General features: G+C 35.8%; 1 long non-coding RNA gene across 1 annotated transcript in view; it reads right to left on the bottom strand.

Annotated features, from left to right (window-relative positions):
- The window catches only part of LOC124902110 (uncharacterized), a 112,958-nt gene that overhangs the window by 93,317 nt on the left and 1,708 nt on the right, over positions 1-17,933 (bottom strand). The window lies entirely within an intron of this gene.

Below are 17,933 nucleotides of genomic sequence, written 5' to 3'. Positions count from 1 at the left end.
TGTAGAAATTTAGATGTCGTAAAACTTCAAAAACTAAACTGCATTAAAATATACTGGTATCTTCAGGAGCTTTAACACTGCTATATTTTCAGGTTATTTTGCCAATAACCAAATAACCCATCAGAGATTACAAACTCATGGTGAAACAGGTGCACTGTTCACATTTCTTAGATTCATCAACATCAAAGAGGACTCTTCCTTAAACTTTAAAAAATGCCAATCCATTTATAGACCAAACACTGAAGCCCGGTGAGGTAAAGTGATTTCCAAAAGTAACACAGTAATGAAGCTAGTTCTGAGACCCAAGTTCACAGAAAGTTGGGTAAACTCTTGTGATGCACAATAAAACACAATTTTAAACCTGCACAAATAAAATGTAATTGTCTTAATAGGAAGTGCCAAAAATTCCAAATCATTTTGGAGGTCATTAGTGAAAGTTAAATTTAGGATGGTCTAACATGAGAATAAAGGTATGTTTGGATGAAAATAACTACATTTCTTTTAAAAGCACTTATTCGCAAACTTCAAAACTGGATAAGGAAAATGCCTAATTACATAGCTTCCAAACTTACCTAAAAACCCATTTAGAATTTACAAAATATACACACCCATGATGGAGAAAAACTATAGCACAATGAAAAATTAGAAATCAAGAAGTTTTTATATTTTCTACGGAGAAAATCTGTGAAACCAATGAATCAATTTGTAGGGAGTTATAACAGTAAAAGGGTTACAAACTATGCACATTTAAGAACCACATTTTAAAGGAGCAAAAGATTAAGTCTGGATATTTTTTAAAATCATGGTTTTAAACCTTTGTCAAGTTTTAATTTTTATATTCCTACTTTCTAGTTCTTGACACTAACTCAACATTGCTAATATAGTTATCAAGTGGTTAACTTATTCTTCCTTTTATTCAATTCAGAGAAAAGTATAAAAAGTAAGGCTTTAAAAATTTTAAAGGAAACAGATAAGCTTTATAATATTTTTGTGTGTTTTATAATCTCAGATTAACAAAATTCAAGCAACAGCATACTAATTCCTTTAGCACAAAAACATTTTTTATTTTTTAGAGACAAGGTCTTGCTCTGTAGCCCAGGCTGGAGTGCAGTCTGAAACTCTACAATGAATGATGAAAAAATTATACTATTTTCCCTTCCTTCACCTTGAAGTGCATAGCTCACTGCAAACCGAATCCCTGGTTTCAAATGATCCTCCCACCTCAGCCTCTCAAAATGCTGGGATTACAGGCATAAGCCACCATGCCAAAGCAAAAAACATTTTAAAACTGAAATGAAAATTCATAAGCTTCAGATACCCAGTGATATTTATTATACATTGTGGATTAGGCTGAAAGTTAGTATTATAGGTTAGGATAACTAATATTTCTTCTTCTGTTCACAAATGCACTGGTATCCAACAACCACTGGAAAAAAGTATTCAGAGATCAAGATGAAATGGCAAAGTAAAAGAAATAATAAAATGAAACCCTACTCATCAATAGTCATTGAAAATGATGATTAAATAAATGAAAGTGAAATAGGTTTTAATTGACCCTGAAAAGGATTTTGTACAGGACCATTTTTGACCCAAGACTCCCAGTCCTCCATGTCTTCTTCTGTACCTTCTTGCTTACATGACTGCTTGTTTTCTTTACTTTTAATGAAAATTCACTTTCATTGAAGGTGTAGCCCTTCTGGTCCTGGCTCTGTGGAGGGGTTTCAGATTATAACTTCTCAGTTCATGAGGTCCGAGGTTTTGTCTCCAGTCTCCAAGAGGCCATTAAAATAGTAATTCTAGCTTATGAAAGAAGGGTAGATTTCCTTCCTCAGTACTGGTTTAGTTTTTTGATTTGGACTTTTGATCCTTTGTACGTCTTTGAGAATTTCCCTTTCTTGCCAGCTCACCAGTGCATTTAGTAAGCTGTTTTAAAATACTTTAGAATTTTTAGGTATTTGCTGAAGGAGGATCATTCAGTTTACCTAGCCCACCTTATGGTCAGAAATGGAAACAATTGTTATAAACCTAGACAATGGAAAAGTATAATGTAATTTTAAAAATTGGAGTCAGAGTGAGAAAAACAAGGTGAAGGAGGGGAAAATAGTATAATTTTTTCATCATTCATTGTAGAGTTTCAAGAGATACTATCTAAATTTGAAAGAGAATCACAGATATCATGAAAAATAATACTGTGATTGCCAGAGGAACTAAAACCAAAATTTGTTAATAGTGTTTATCTCTGAGTCCTGAGTAGGGTGAGGGATTTTGGAGGAAGTGTTTTACTTTTTGAAAAGGTGGAAATAAAATTGTTTTTATTCCCAGCTGACATGTTCATCTACATAGAAAATCTGGTGGTATCAACAAAGAAACTACTAGAAGTTACTTTAACAAGGTATCAGGATATAAAAGATCATAATAAAAATCAGTTATATCTCTCTATACTAGTAATGAACAAAAGAAATTTAAAAACAGTATTATTTGCAATAGCATCAAAATTACGATTACTCAGGGATAAAACTGATAAAAATAGTGAAAGATCTGTATACCAAAAACTAAAAAACATTACCAAGAGAAATTAAAGAAGACCAGAATAAAAGAAGATATGTACCTTTTTCATGGGTCAGAAGACTTAATATTATTAACATGTCAGTTCTTACCAGATTATTCTGTAGATTCAACACAATGTTAACCCAAATCATTGATTCTAAAATTCATATGGAAACACAAAAGACTTATAATATAGAAAACAACCTTTAAAAAGAAAAACAAAAATACTCCCTGATTTCAAAATTATAAATTTACAGTATACAAGATAGTGTGGTATTGGGGTAAAGATAGACAAACATATCAATAGAACAGAATAGAGAATCCCAAAATAGAACCGCATACATAGGGACAACTTATTTTTGATAAAGATAGAAAGGGAATTCAGTGGAGACCAGTAGTCTTTTTAATGAATGGTGCTGAAACAATAGGATATGAAACAATCTGTATGGAAAGTTGTGAACCTTAATCCTTATCTCATATCTTACACACCACTTAATTCAAAACCTCTCATAGACCTAAACTTAGCAAAAATAATAAAACTGTGTTAAGGAAACAGATGAGATAAATTTTGGATTAGGCAAAGACTTTTTAGGTAAAACAAAAAAGGCACAATAAAAAAAGATATTAACAGATTAGACCATCAAAATTAAAGTCTTTGTTCTTTGAAAGATACCTTCAAGGAAGTAAAAAGGCAAGCCGTACACTGGGAGAAATATTTGCAAAATATGTATGTCTGATGAAGGATTTGTGTCCAAAATATATGAACTTTTATAATCCAAGAAGAAGATGACAAACAAAAAAAAAAAAAAAGGAGGGGGTAAAACATGAACAGATATCTCACAAAAGAAGAAATGGGACAAGTCAATAACACAGGAAATGCAGCTTAACATTACTAGTCATTAGGGAAATACAAATTAAAACCACAATGAAAGTTGGCAAGGATGTGGAGCAATTAGGACTCTCACACATTTCTGGGAGGAATACAAAATGATAAAGGCACTAGGAAAGCATTTTGGCAATTTCTTAAACATACACTTGGTATATGACCCAGTAATTTCACTCCTAGGCGTCTGTAAAAGTGAAATGAAAACATCTATCTCCAGGCACACTTATACATGAATTGTGGCAGCATTATTGTGGCAAGAACACTTATATATAATGATGGTAGCAATATTCATAATAACAAATATCTGAAACAAACTCTGGTATATCCATACAATGGAATACTAATCAGCAATAAAAGCAAATGAATTATTGATATACACAACAATATGGGTGAATGTCAGAAACATTCTGCCACAGCACCCACCCCCCAGCAAAATTTAAATATTGTATGTTCCATTTATGTAGCATTCTAGTTAAAGGAATAATATAGTGGCAGCTTATCAAAGTTTTCCTGGGGATGGGGTGAGGTAATTGGTAAGAGAGAGTTGACTACAAAAGCACAAGGAAGATTTTGATGTTGATAGAAATGTCCAATATCTGATTGCGGTGGTGGTCAAATGACTGCATACTTTGCTAACATTTATCTAATTGTATACTTAATAGGAGTGAATTTATTATATGTGAATTATATTTTAATAAAGGATTAAGAACTCTTTTATATCCCCAGGATGGCACAACAATACTGATTATCATAAATGTACTATTCCAATACCTTTGTTAGCTGAAAAAATTGGTTAGAAGCAGAAATTAAAAACCACAGTATGTATTGGAATAGATTTCAAAATCTCTTCCTAATAAAGCTGTTCTTGATTATCAGTATTACTTATAGCCTGAAAGTAAATTGGGTGAGAGATATCATAGGTCTGTAGTTTTCTGTGTTCTTCCTTCTGAACTTACTTCAAGTGGATAAATGGATTCCTTATTTAATGCCTCATTTCTTTAGAGAATTTTAATGCATTAATATCCTCCAAGTAGATCCGATGGCCTTTCTGAAACCTTTTATGTGGCCAGATGGGAAGGGAATAGAACAATATCCCAGGTCCAGTTTTTCCTCTTACTAAACACTAAAAAAAAAAAAAAAATCAAGACACCCTTAAAATCCCTTTTTCTCCAGTTTCTATAAGAGAGGGGTTAACAAAGCCCTGTAACACTCTTAAAGCTCTCCTGCTGCTAAGGGGAGTGCAACAGAGACTGTCACCATAAGGACTGATTCCTGACTGAGAGCTGAGTCTTTCTCAAGAGAAATCTGACAATTAAGTGCAGAAGTTGTCCTTGGATTGCACCAAAGATTATCCCAGCTGGGGTTCTGAGAAGGACTCTGGCAGAATATGGCCAAGGGAAGGCCCTTTGTGGCACAGATCGAAAACACCTTGCCCTATGGGGCTGATCACAGTCAGATAACTAGGAAGAGACTGCCTTTTAGATTTACAGAGAGCCTCCACAAGAGGGTCTCCAGAGTAAAGTCTTCTTTAAAAATTAATTTTAGAAAGAAACACATTATCAGTATTTCAAAAGACAAAGCAACTTAGGCAAAATTTAGACTAAAATAAGAAAGAAAATAAGATTACAGTTATATAGAAATCTTTACCAAATTTTTTCATGTAAGCTATTTTCCCTGGTACACTGTGTGGAACTGTCCCAAATTCAAGATTCTCTTGTTTAGACTACAGCTTTAAAAAATATGTTTGTCACCACCAGGCCTGCCCTAAAAGAGCTCCTGAAGGAAGCACTAAACATGGAAAGGAACAACCGGTACCAGCCACTGCAAAAACATGCCAAATTGTAAAGACCATCGAAGCTAGAAAGAAACTGCATCAACTAATGGGCAAAATAACCAGCTAACATCATAATGACAGGATCAAATTCACAAATAACAATATTAACCTTAAATGTAAATGGGCTAAATGCTCCAATTAAAAGACACAGACTGGCAAATTGGATAAAGAGTCAAGACCCATCAGTGTGCTATATTCAGGAAACCCATCTCATGTGCAGAGACACACATAGGCTCAAAATAAAGGGATGGAGGAAGATCTACCAAGCAAATGGAACACAAAAAAAGCAGGGGTTGCAATCCTAGTCTCTGATAAAACAGACTTTAAAGAAACAAAGATCAAAAGAGACAAGGCCATTACAAAATGGTAAAGGGAACAATTCAACAAGAGCTAACTATCCTAAATATATATGCACCCAATACAGGAGCACCCAGATTCATAAAGCAAGTCTGTAGAGACCTACAAAGAGACTTAGACTCCCACACAATAATAATGGGAGACTTTAACACCCCACTGTCAACATTAGACAGATCAACGAGACAGAAAGTTAACAAGGATATCCAAGAATTGAACTCAGCTCTCTGCACCAAGCAGACCTAATAGACATCTACAGAACTCTCCACCCCAAATCAACAGAATATACATTCTTCTCAGCACCACACATCAAACTTATTCCAAAACTGACCACATAGTTGGAAGTAAAGCACTCCTTAGCAAATGTAAAAGAACAGAAATTATAACAAACTGTCTCTCAGACCACAGTGCAATCAAACTAGAACTCAGGATTGAGAAACTCACTCAAAATCGCTCAACTACATGGAAACTGAACAACCTGCTCCTGAATGACTACTGGATACATAACGAAATGAAGGCAGAAATAAAGATGTTCTTTGAAACCAACGAGAACAAAGACACAACATACCAGAATCTCTGGGACACATTCAAAGCAGTGTAGAGAGGGAAATGTATAGCACTAAATGCCCACAAGAGAAAGCAGGAAAGATCTAAAATTGATACCCTAACATCACAATTAAAAGAACTAGAGAAGCAAGAGCAAACACATTCAAAAGCTAGCAGAAGGCAAGAAATAACTAAGATCAGAGCAGAACTGAAGGAAATAGAGACACAAAAAAAACCCTTCAAAAAATCAATGAATCCAGGAGCTGGTGTTTTGAAAAGATCAACAAAATTGATAGAGCACTAGCAAGACTAATAAAGAAGAAAAGAGAGAAGAATCAAATAGATGCAATAAAAAATGATAAACGGGACATCACCACCAATCCCACAGAAATACAAACTACCATCAGAGAATATTATAAACACCTCTATGCAAATAAACTAGAAAATCTAGAAGAAATGGATAAATTCCTGGAAACATACACCCTCCCAAGACTAAACCAGGAAGAAGTTGAATCTCTGAATAGACCAAAAACAGGTTCTGAAATTGAGGCAATAATTAATAGCTTACCAACCAAAAAAAGTCCAGGATCAGATGGATTCACACCTGAATTCTACCAGAGGTACAAGAAGGAGCTGGTACCATTCCTTCTGAAACTATTCCAATCAATAGAAAAAGAGGGAATCCTCCCTAACTCATTTTATGAGGCCAGCATCATCCTGATTCCAAAGCCTGGCAGAGACACAACAAAAAAAGAGAATTTTAGACCAATATCCCTGATGAACACTGATGCAAAAATCCTCAATAAAATACTGGCAAACCAAATACAGCAGCACATCAAAAAGCTTATCCACCATGATCAAGTGGGCTTCATCCCTGGGATGCAAGGCTGGTTCAACATAAACAAATCAATAAACGTAATCCAGCATATAAACAGAACCAAAGACAAAAATGACATGATTGTCTCAATAGATGCAAAAAAGGCCTTTGACAAAATTCAACAGCACTTCATGCTAAAAACTCTCAATAAATTAGGTATTGATGGGACGTATCTCAAAATAATAAGAGCTATCTATGACAAACCCACAGCCAGTATCATACTGAATGGGCAAAAACTGGAAGCATTCCCTTTGAAAACTGGCACAAGACAGGGATGCCCTCTCTCACCACTCCTATTCAACATAGTGTTGGAAGTTCTGGCCAGGGCAATCGGCCAGGAGAAAGAAATAAAGGGTATTCAATTAGGAAAAGAGGAAGTCAAATTGTCCCTGTTTGCAGATGATATGATTGTATATCTAGAAAACCCCATAGTCTCAGCCCAAAATCTCCTTAAGCTGATAGGCAACTTCAGCAAAGTCTCAGGATACAAAACCAATGTGCAAAAATCACAAGCATTCTTATACACCAATAACAGACAAACAGAGAGCCAAATCATGAGTGAACTCCCATTCACAATTGCTTCAAAGAGAATAAAATACCTAGGAATCCAACTTACAGGGGACGTGAAGGACCTCTTCAAGGAGAACTACAAACCACTGCTCAATGAAATAAAAGAGGATACAAACAAATGGAAGAACATTCCATGCTCATGGGTAGGAAGAATCAATATCGTGAAAATGGCCATACTGCCCAAGGTAATTTATAGATTCAATGCCATCCCCATCAAGCTACCAATGGCTTTCTTCAAAGAATTCGATAAAACTACTTTAAAGTTCATATGGAACCAAAAAAGAGCCCACATTGCCAAGTCAATCCTAAGCCAAAAGAACAAAGCTGGAGGCATCACGCTGACTTCAAACTATACTACAAGGCTACAGTAACCAAAACAGCATGGTACTGGTACCAAAACAGAGATATAGACCAATGGAACAGAACAGAGCCCTCAGAAATAATGCCGCATATCTACAACCATCTGATCTTTGACAAACCTGACAAAAACAAGCAATGGGGAAAGGATTCCCTATTTAATAAATGGTGCTGGGAAAACTGGCTAGCCATATGTAGAAAGCTGAAACTGGATCCCTTCCTTATATCTTGTACAAAAATTAATTCAAGATGGATTAAAGACTTAAATGTTAGACCTAAAACCATAAAAACCCTAGAAGAAAACCTAGGCAATACCATTCAGGACATAGGCATGGGCAAGGACTTCATGTCTAAAACACCAAAAGCAATGGCAACAAAAGCCAAAATTGACAAATGGGATCTAATTAAACTAAAAGGCTTCTGCACAGCAAAAGAAACTACCATCAGAGTGAACAGGCAACCTACAAAATGGGAGAAAATTTTTGCAATCTATCCATCTGACAAAGGGCTAATATCCAGAAGCTACAATGAACTCCAACAAATTTACAAGAAAAAAACCAACCATCCCATCAAAAAGTGGGCAAAGGATATGAACAGACATTTCTCAAAAGAAGACATTTACACAGCCAAAAGACACATGAAAAAATGCTCATCATCACTGGTCATCAGAGAAATGCAAATCAAAACCACAATGAGATACCATCTCACACCAGTTAGAATGGCAATCATTAAAAAGTCAGGAAACAACAGGTGCTGGAGAGGATGTGGAGAAATAGGAACACTTTTACACTGCTGGTGGGACTGTAAACTAGTGCAACCATTGTGGAAGTCAGTGTGGCGATTCCTCAGGGATCTAGAACTAGAAATACCATTTGACCCAGCCATCCCATTACTGGGTATATACCCAAAGGATTATAAATCATGCTGCTATAAAGACACATGCACAAGTATGTTTATTGCGGCACTATTCACAATAGCAAAGACTTGGAACCAACCCAAATGTCCAACAATGATAGACTGGATTAAGAAAATGTGGCACATATACACCATGGAATACTATGCAGCCATAAAAAAGGATGAGTTCATGTCCTTTGTAGGGACATGGATGAAGCTGGAAACCATCATTCTCAGCAAACTATCACAGGGACAAAAAACCAAACACTGCATGTTCTCACTCATAGGTGGGAATTGAACAATGAGAACACATGGACACAGGAAGGGGAACATCACACACTGGGGACTGTTGTGGGGTGGGGGGAGGGGAAGGGATAGCATTAGGAGATATACCTAATGTTAAATGACGAGTTAATGGGTGCAGCACACCAACATGGCACATGTATACATATGTAACAAACCTGCACATTGTTCACATGTACCCTAAAACTTAAAGTATAATTTAAAAAAAGTAAAAAAAAAAAAAACAAAAAAATTATGTTTCTTAGATGCAAAAGGGTTGGGTGTAGGATTAGAGACAAGAGGCAGGTAGTTCAACATAGCAGTTAAGAAGGCAGACTCCGTAGTCATAGTCTGTTAGTCTGGTTCAAGACCTAACTTCAGCAAAAATGAGGTGTGCTGTCTAGGGAAAATTACTTAATCTCTCTGTTTCCTTATAGGGGATAATAATGGTAATCTACATATAGAATTGCTACAGGATTAAGCAAAATAATACATACAAACTGAGAACAGTACCTAGTACATAGAAAATGTTTGTGTTAATTAGGATTAACTGTGAGACAGAAAACAAGATTGATGTTTCTTTTTCATGTAAACATAATGCAGACCAGTGTAGTAGCCTCACACTCATTATGGTCTTAGTCTCCTACTCTGTTGCTCCATGTGTGTGGCTTGGTGGCATCCTTCTTCTAAACAATGGGATAGAGAAGGGGATGAAAATTAGAGGGGGAAAGGGTGAAGGACTTAAGCAATCTGCCTTAAATTTTTTTTGAAGTGGCCCTGTGAACACTTAGTTGACAAGAGCTTAGTCATAAGACTCCATCTAACTTTAAGGGAAACCAGGAAAGGAAGTCTTCCGGCTCAGCCCAAAACATGAATAATTCTGTTTTCATAAAAGAAGGGGAGCAGGTAACTAATAATCTGTCAGAATGCTTCATAAATGTTGGTAATTATTGTTATTCTGTTACTTACATGGCTCCTAGATCAGTCTCCTGGTCTGATAGTTCTTAGCTCATGGGACTTCTTTTGTATGTGCCTCTCTACTTGAATCTGTCACTGAAATTTGCATATTTATAAAACTGCTTATTAAAAAAAAGTCTTATCTTTTCCCCTTCCTAATGTTCTGCTCAGAGTAAGTCCAATATTGTCCTTTTCTTATATTCATACCTATACTCATAATCTTGATATATTATTTTCTCATTTATCTTATGCCTTTCTTCCTCAACTAGTCTGTTATGCACTGAATTGTGTCCCATCCAAATTCATATGTTGAAGTCCTAACCAGTAGTGCCTCATATTGTATTTGGAGGTAGCATATTTAAAGAAATAATTTAGTTAAAATGAGGTCATTAGGGTGAGCCCTAATCCAATATGACTGATGTTCTTATAAGAAGATAAGATAGAACACAGACACACGGAGGAAAGACCATGTGGAGATACAAGGGGAAGATGGACATCTACAAGCCAGTGAGAAAGGCCTCAGAAGAGACCATCTCTTGGTGTCAAGCAGTGACACCTTGATCTCAGATTTCTAGTCTCTTGAAGTGTGAGAAAAATTTCTGTTGTTTAAGCTACTCAGTCTGTAGTGTTTTGTTATGGCAACTCAAGCAAAATTTTTCAGTCTGTGAGTTTATTTAGTGTTATCAAAGTCCCAACAAGAAACAGATGATACACTAGAAAGAGGGCAATTTGATGCGAATTTAAGTACAAAGGACCTATTTACCAAGATGTGGGTGTAGAGAAACTGAAAGAATGGTGCAGTAACCTAGAGAGCAGTGGAACTGTTACTACCCATAAGCCTAAAGAGGGGAAAGAGCCTTTATCAGAATTCTTAAGTCAATGGATATGGCTATCTTGAAGCAACTTTGCAAGGTAGGAGACAGGGTAATAAAAAACCTGACTTTACTCTCCTCTCTCCACGTCTCCAATCTCCTGCCAGTGCTGCCCACTGATGGAAACCAACTGGCAGCCAGAAAGCAATGATGTAGTCAGAATGCATGAAGGTCAGCTTTCTAGAAAGGTGGGTAAAAAAGAGTCAAGAGTGAATATGGAGACACAAATAGAAGATAATCTGGCACAACAAGGAAGTTCTTTTGTATCTTTCACTCTTCCTTGTTCCTTATCTCCACGTGTCCATAATAACTAGTATAGCAGAGATAGCCGGTCCTCAGTAAGTATTAGAAAATTGACCATGCTTGACATTTTCAAGTACTGTAAACATTTCCTCCACTGTATTTTTTAGAATATATCCTCTCTCACTATTCCTAGTTATAGCCTTAACCCAAGTCTTAACCATATCTTACCTCTAGGACTAGTGCTTCCCTGTTCCTTTTGGCTCATTCTACGCAAACGAAAAAACAAACAAAAACCAATCAACCCATGAGACCACAATACTTTAAAAAAAAAAGATCATAGTAATCATCTCGGTAGATTATGATAATGTTTCTTCCTTTTCTCACCTTTACATGGCTTCATTATAGTTGACATGAGATTAAGATTGTGGATATTCGAGGAACGTTCCTGTCAACTTCCTTTCCAAAAGTTATTACAACTTCCAGCCTGTCTTACCTGTTTCTGGCAGGTAAGCGTTATATCTTTTGAAGTCTACAATAAACTTTCAGAATTTTGTTTCTTTTCCAAAGATGATTGTCAAATACAGAGGTATGGCTTTTTCAAGAGATGCTAACAAGTTATGTTTTAATTGTACAACTAAGTTAACTTAAAAATAGTCTTATAGAAATTACTCTTATAATAGATACTTCCTTAATGTGCTCTCAGCAGTGAGAAGAACTTCCACCTAGATTAAGCTCCAGTGTAGATCCACTTATTATATACATCATTCAATTCTGCCACCTCTGCAGCTGGTTCCTTAGACGCTGATGGTTTCTGGCTTTTCCAGAAAGTCAGTTCTTTGTATTTCATTGTAGGGTCATTGAGACAGTACTGCCTCAAAAGAAAATGATATGGATATTTTATGCAATTTTACTTATTTCATTTAAGGAGGAATTTAATCTTAAACTTATCCACTTTCAAAATAGGCATGTTTAACCCTATAAAAAATCTTTGTCATACAGTTTTCTATAATCTTATTATTCACTTAACATTTCTTGTCTATTATCAATCTTCAAACAAATTAGTGTTTTTCCTCTAAAGGTTGTTACTTCTGGGTGAAAAATGATGTAACATTTAACAAGTAGTCTATAATTACTGTGTCACACATTTGAAGTTACAAGTAAGATAACCCTATAAAGCAAATCCAACTGTCTTTATTTTTTCATAATGAAGTATATCAATTTTTAATGAAGGTTGTAGTGCCAAATTAGGGTAATGAGTTCAAGTACACTTAAGTAATCACCCTTTTATTAGTTTTTTCTGATCTTTGTGAAACTAGCACAAAGTTCACTATAATGATCTCAGTGGATCTATTAACTAATCCCTCCCTTTATAGGAAGAAGGAAAAAAAAGCCTAAGAAACAAATTGTTTTAAATTCACTTTTGCCACTATTATTTCAGGGCCATTTTATCCATCAATCACTATGCTTAGGATTTATGCAGTTCTCAAGGTCTTTTGAAAATGTTGGGGATCTAAAAAAAAAAAGTTGACTTCAAAATATGAAAAGTGGCAAATAATAACTATGTAATTAATGTCTACAAAACATACCATTATTGTCATTTTTAAACTCAATTTTTAGTCATGTATATTTTATGTGATGTGGATGTATTTTAATGTGTTTAATATTATATGGGGTTGGAAGTCTTCAAACCAAGTCTTTAAAATGGCCTTAATCTTTAAATTTTTTTTGAGACAGGGTCTTACTCTTTTACCGGGACTGGAGTGCAGTGGTGTGACCATGGCTCTGCATCCTTGAACTCCTGAGCTCAAGTAATCCTCCTGCCTCAGCCTTCCAAGTAGCTGGGACTACAGGCACGCACCACCATGCCTAGCTAATTTATTTTTTCATTTTTTTGTAGAGACAGGGTGTCTTTCTTGCCCAGGCTTGGCCTCCCAAAGTGCTGAGACTAAAGGTGTAAGGCATGGCACCTGGCCCTTAATCTCTTTTATGACAGTAGTACCACATAACATTTCAAACAGTACTTGCGGGCAAGTGTTTTAAACACCCCACTGTAAAATGTGTATTTTTCTGTTCCCTGCCCTCAAAACAAAAATGTTAGTAAGCTAAAAAAAAATTTTTGGAAAAATATTGCACGCACGTAAATTCTCTCTTTCAAAACAAACAAGGCATCAAGAGGCAAATACATGTAATGTCAATCAGTAATCTTTATTTTTCTTCATTAGTGGTTGTGTCATATTGCTTAAAAAAATTTTTAAGGATGAAAAAAGTTCAGTCATATGCTGTAACAATTGATATACACATTCAAAAACAATTTAAATGAAGGTTTTACATATTATTGTGATATCAGTATGTGGGGCAGGTGACATATATGGCATGTTCCAGTGAGCAGATACTATTAGTATACTTCCAATAGGGAGAATGGCCCAACAGAACTTGGGAGATGTTTTCTCCAGACTACATATTACATTATAAGAAAAAAAAAAGGTAGAGGAAGGGAGGAAGGGAAGGGGAGGGAGGAAGTGGAGAGGGAGAGGGAGAGGAAGAGAGAGAGGCAGAGGGAGAGGGAAAGGTGGGGAGAGAGGGAGGGGGCAGAGAGAGAGGGAGAGAGAGGGAGAGGGAGAGAGAGGGAGGGGGAGAGAGAGAGAGAGAAAGAAAACAAGAATTTGGCAGTTAAAGAATTTGGATCAAATAAAATCATTTTTTATATATAATTGACAATAATTGAGAAAATACTTTCCAGCACATATTATTGACATGAACTGCTGATTCATTTATAATAATTAATCTTTAACAGTTAAAGTTCATTGTCTTGTAAAAATCTACTTGGGGTTCACAAAGGTCTTAAAAAACACTGGTAGAAATATTTATTAACATTATTAAGGTACTTACTCCACCAAAAATTTTTCTTAATTTCACTGAAGTACTATATAAACACATATATTTAATATTTTGAATCAATTCACCTGGTATTCCATCTCTTAAAATCCATTAAAATCAGAATTTTAGAATTGAGATCATTCAGGTCTTTTTATCCTTCACTTACAAACTTAGTTTTCTTCTACTTCCAAAAGGCTTGAGTCTGAAGTGTTACCTACCGAGCTTATTTGACTTTCTAAACCTAGTCATAGAGCTAGCACCAAAATCTCCCAAAACGCTCTTAAGTGTTACCTTAGAAGAAGGTTGTATGATCGCCACGTTTAAGATACTTGATTCCAATAGAAAAAATTTTTTCTGTATTCATCTAGAGTTCACTTTAAGCCCTCAAAAGAAATTTCTTGTTTCTAGATGCATTCAAAATTATAAAGCAGCAGAACTCATTTTTTGGAGCGGAAAATCAATGCTATCTATTGTATGTCACAATTACATATTTGAAAATTTGCCAAGAATTTTACTATTTATCCTTTCTCCCCAGGGTTGAACAAAAATATTATGGAAAACATGGGCTAATTAGTAGATTAAAATAGAGTAATAAAAATTCTATTAATGATTTATAGGGTTTGGGGGCAGGTATTACTGGCATACAATGCATATTAATTACAATTTTGAAAAATGTAAACATGTGCATAAAACAAGGTCTAGACTAGAACTCTCTAGTAGAACTTCTGAGATAACAGAAGTCTGTATTTGCACTGTCCAACTTAGTAGGCAGTAGCCACATGTGGCTATTGAACATTTAAAATGTAGCTAATGTGACAGTGGAAATGAATTTTGTTTTAATTAATAGATTTTAATAGCTATATGTCATTAGTGCAGCTGAGACAGTGCAGAACATTTTCACCATCCTACCATGTTCCCTCATAATCCTTTCCACTAAAATCCCAACCTACTGCCTCTGCCATAAGAAGATACTAAACACAGATTACTTTTTCCTGTTCTTAAATTTTATATAAATGGATTCATATGCTATGTACTCTGTGTCTGGCTTCTTTTGCCAAATGCAATGTTTTTGAGATTTGTCCGTGTTGTATCAGCAGTCCTTTCCTTTGACTTGCTCAATAATACTCCATCGTATGACTGTATCACAATTTGTTTTACTCTTTTACTTTTTAAAGACAAGGTCTTGCTCTCACCCAGGCTGAAGTACAGTGGTGTGATCACGGCTCACTGCAACCTTGAACTCCTGGATTCATGCAATTCTCTTGCCTCAGCCTCCCAAGTAGCTGGGACTCCAGGCATGTGCCAACATGCTCAGCTAAGTTTTAATTTTTTTTTGTAAAGACAGAGTCTCGCTATGTTGCTCAGGCTAGTCTCAAACTCCTGGCCTCCAGTGATCCTCATGGCTTGGCCTCCCAGAGTGTTGGGATTACAGGTGTTAAGTCATTGTGCTGGGCCCACAATTTGTCTTCCCATCCTCCTATTGATATACATTTGAATTGTTTCCAGACTATTTTTTTTTTTTTGAGACCGAGTTTTGCTCTTGTTGCCCAGGGTGGAGTGCAATGGTGCGATCTCGGCCCACCGCAACCTCTGCCTCCCAGGTTCAAGCGATTCTCCTGCCTCAGCTTCCCAAGTAGCTGGGATTACAGGTATGTGCCACCACACCCAGCTAATTTTGTATTTTTAGTAGAGATGGGGTAACTCCATGTTGGTCAGGCTGGTCTCGAACTCCCGATGTCAGGTGATCCACCCGCTCGGCCTCCCAAAGTGTTGAGATTAAAGGCGTGAGCCACCACGCCCGGCCCCAGACTTTTTTTTTTAAAGCTGCATGTGTACATCAAAAGGTAATTTGGTGTTAAGCAAAGGTAGTCAACTTATGATTCTATAATCATCTTTCTGTGCTGGAGTAAAAATGTAATTCCAAGACATACACATGCACACAAACGTGTGTACACATAGCCACACACACTCTTCAGAACTGCCGAGTAATCAGCTGGTTTGTATTACTTAAAGAAAACACAGAAAGACAAATCTACCAGAAAAAATTATTGCACTGTTTTCAAAACCAAATCATACTTTAGGTGGGGATAGGGAGGCTTGAGGGTGCTCCAGAGAATAGTGGCAAATTATGTTCAGTTTTGAATTACCTTGGCCCCTATCACTCTCTTATCATTTTTAAATAATTATCACATATCCACAGAATTTCAGATCTAGTAAAGGGAATTAGCAATCGAGTAATAAAATTATCCAGTATTCCACATAAGTGCTCAATAAATATTGGTACAAATGAAACCATTCATTTTATATAAGAGAACCCAAGACTCTACATCTCTCTCTCAATTGAAGAAAATAGGATATAATCAAATGAAAAAATTTAAAACAGGTGTGATTTCTCTCATAAAAAGATTCACCACAAATTCAACAATAAGGTGCCACAGCATACATTACTTTTCAAACTCTCATACTATTTTTCAGAAGCAAGCCTATCACATAGCACTATTTTATCTTTTCATATGCATCCTTTCTTTTTTAAAGTATAATAATGAAATAACTTATTAGTCCTTGAATATGGAGTAGATATGAATAGGCAAAAACACTCTAATAGATAATACAGAAATCTACCACTACGAATGTGTTAAAGTAACTTATGAAATACACAATCTATATATATCATCAGGGCTTCAGATTTTTCTTCAAGTAGTTCAGATACAAATGTGTTATTCCATGTCTCTTCCAATCATTCTGATCGGAGAGAAAAAAACAATCCAAGTTAAAACACAACATTCTAAATTAATAGATAATGTTGAACATTTTACATTCAGGAACTATGTCTGCCCAATTTTAGCTTGGTTATGTACCTTTTTTTATTGATCACACAGTGTGTTTTGCACTATAATAGGTGATAACTGTTAGAGTGGTCCAATACTGGGTCTTTTCTGTGACTTCTTAGCAAATAATTTATTTCTGAAACATACATGCAACATATGTGAAGATGCATCTATGCAGCTTTAAAAAATGGCTAAAAAAAATCCTACAAGCAATAACTATGGGTTAAAAGGTTTCTGGGTTCTTTTGTAACTAATTACAGTATTAAACAATACATGCATATAAAATCCGTATTTTCGATTCTATAGCTTGAACTGGTATCTTGGTCATCTGATTCAGTGTGGTGGTGTATTTGTACCTTTTCACACTGCTATAAAGAACTGCCGGAGACTGGGTAATTTATGAAGAAAAGAGGTTTAACTGACTCACAGTTCTGCAGGCTTAACAGGAAGCATGACTGGGAGGTCTCACGGAAACTTACCATTATGGCGGAAGGCGAAGGGTACAAGGACTTTCTTCACATTGTGGCAGGTGAGAGAGGGGTAGTGGTAAATATTTTTAAACAAGCAGATCTCGTGAGAAGTCACTCTTGAAACAGCACTAGTGGGATGGTGCTAAACCATCAGAAACTGCCCCCAGGATCCAATCATCTCCCACAGGGCCCCTCCTTCAACACTTTCGGATTACGATTTCACATGAGAGTTGGGTGGGGACACAAAGCCAAACCCTATCAGGCAGTAACACTAACATTTCAAATATTAACCTCAATATGGTTAGAATTGTATCATCATCAAGTATCCTAAAACATGGGAAAATATTCTAAATTCTAAATTTTCAAGAATTAACTTCAGGAAATTTATCTATTCCTAACTCTGGAAAAGACCAAATCTGTAAGGCAAAAAAAAAAAAAAAAAAAAAAAAAAAAAATTTAAGCAGCTTAAAACTGATTCTATAATGTCCTAGCACAAGGGTTGCACTTATTTTTTAATAGTCCCTCGAAGTACCTATTTA

Source organism: Homo sapiens, chromosome 9, assembly GCF_000001405.40.
Source record: "Homo sapiens chromosome 9, GRCh38.p14 Primary Assembly".
Lineage (NCBI taxonomy): Eukaryota > Metazoa > Chordata > Mammalia > Primates > Hominidae > Homo > Homo sapiens.
This window is presented reverse-complemented; position numbering and strand designations above follow the sequence as displayed.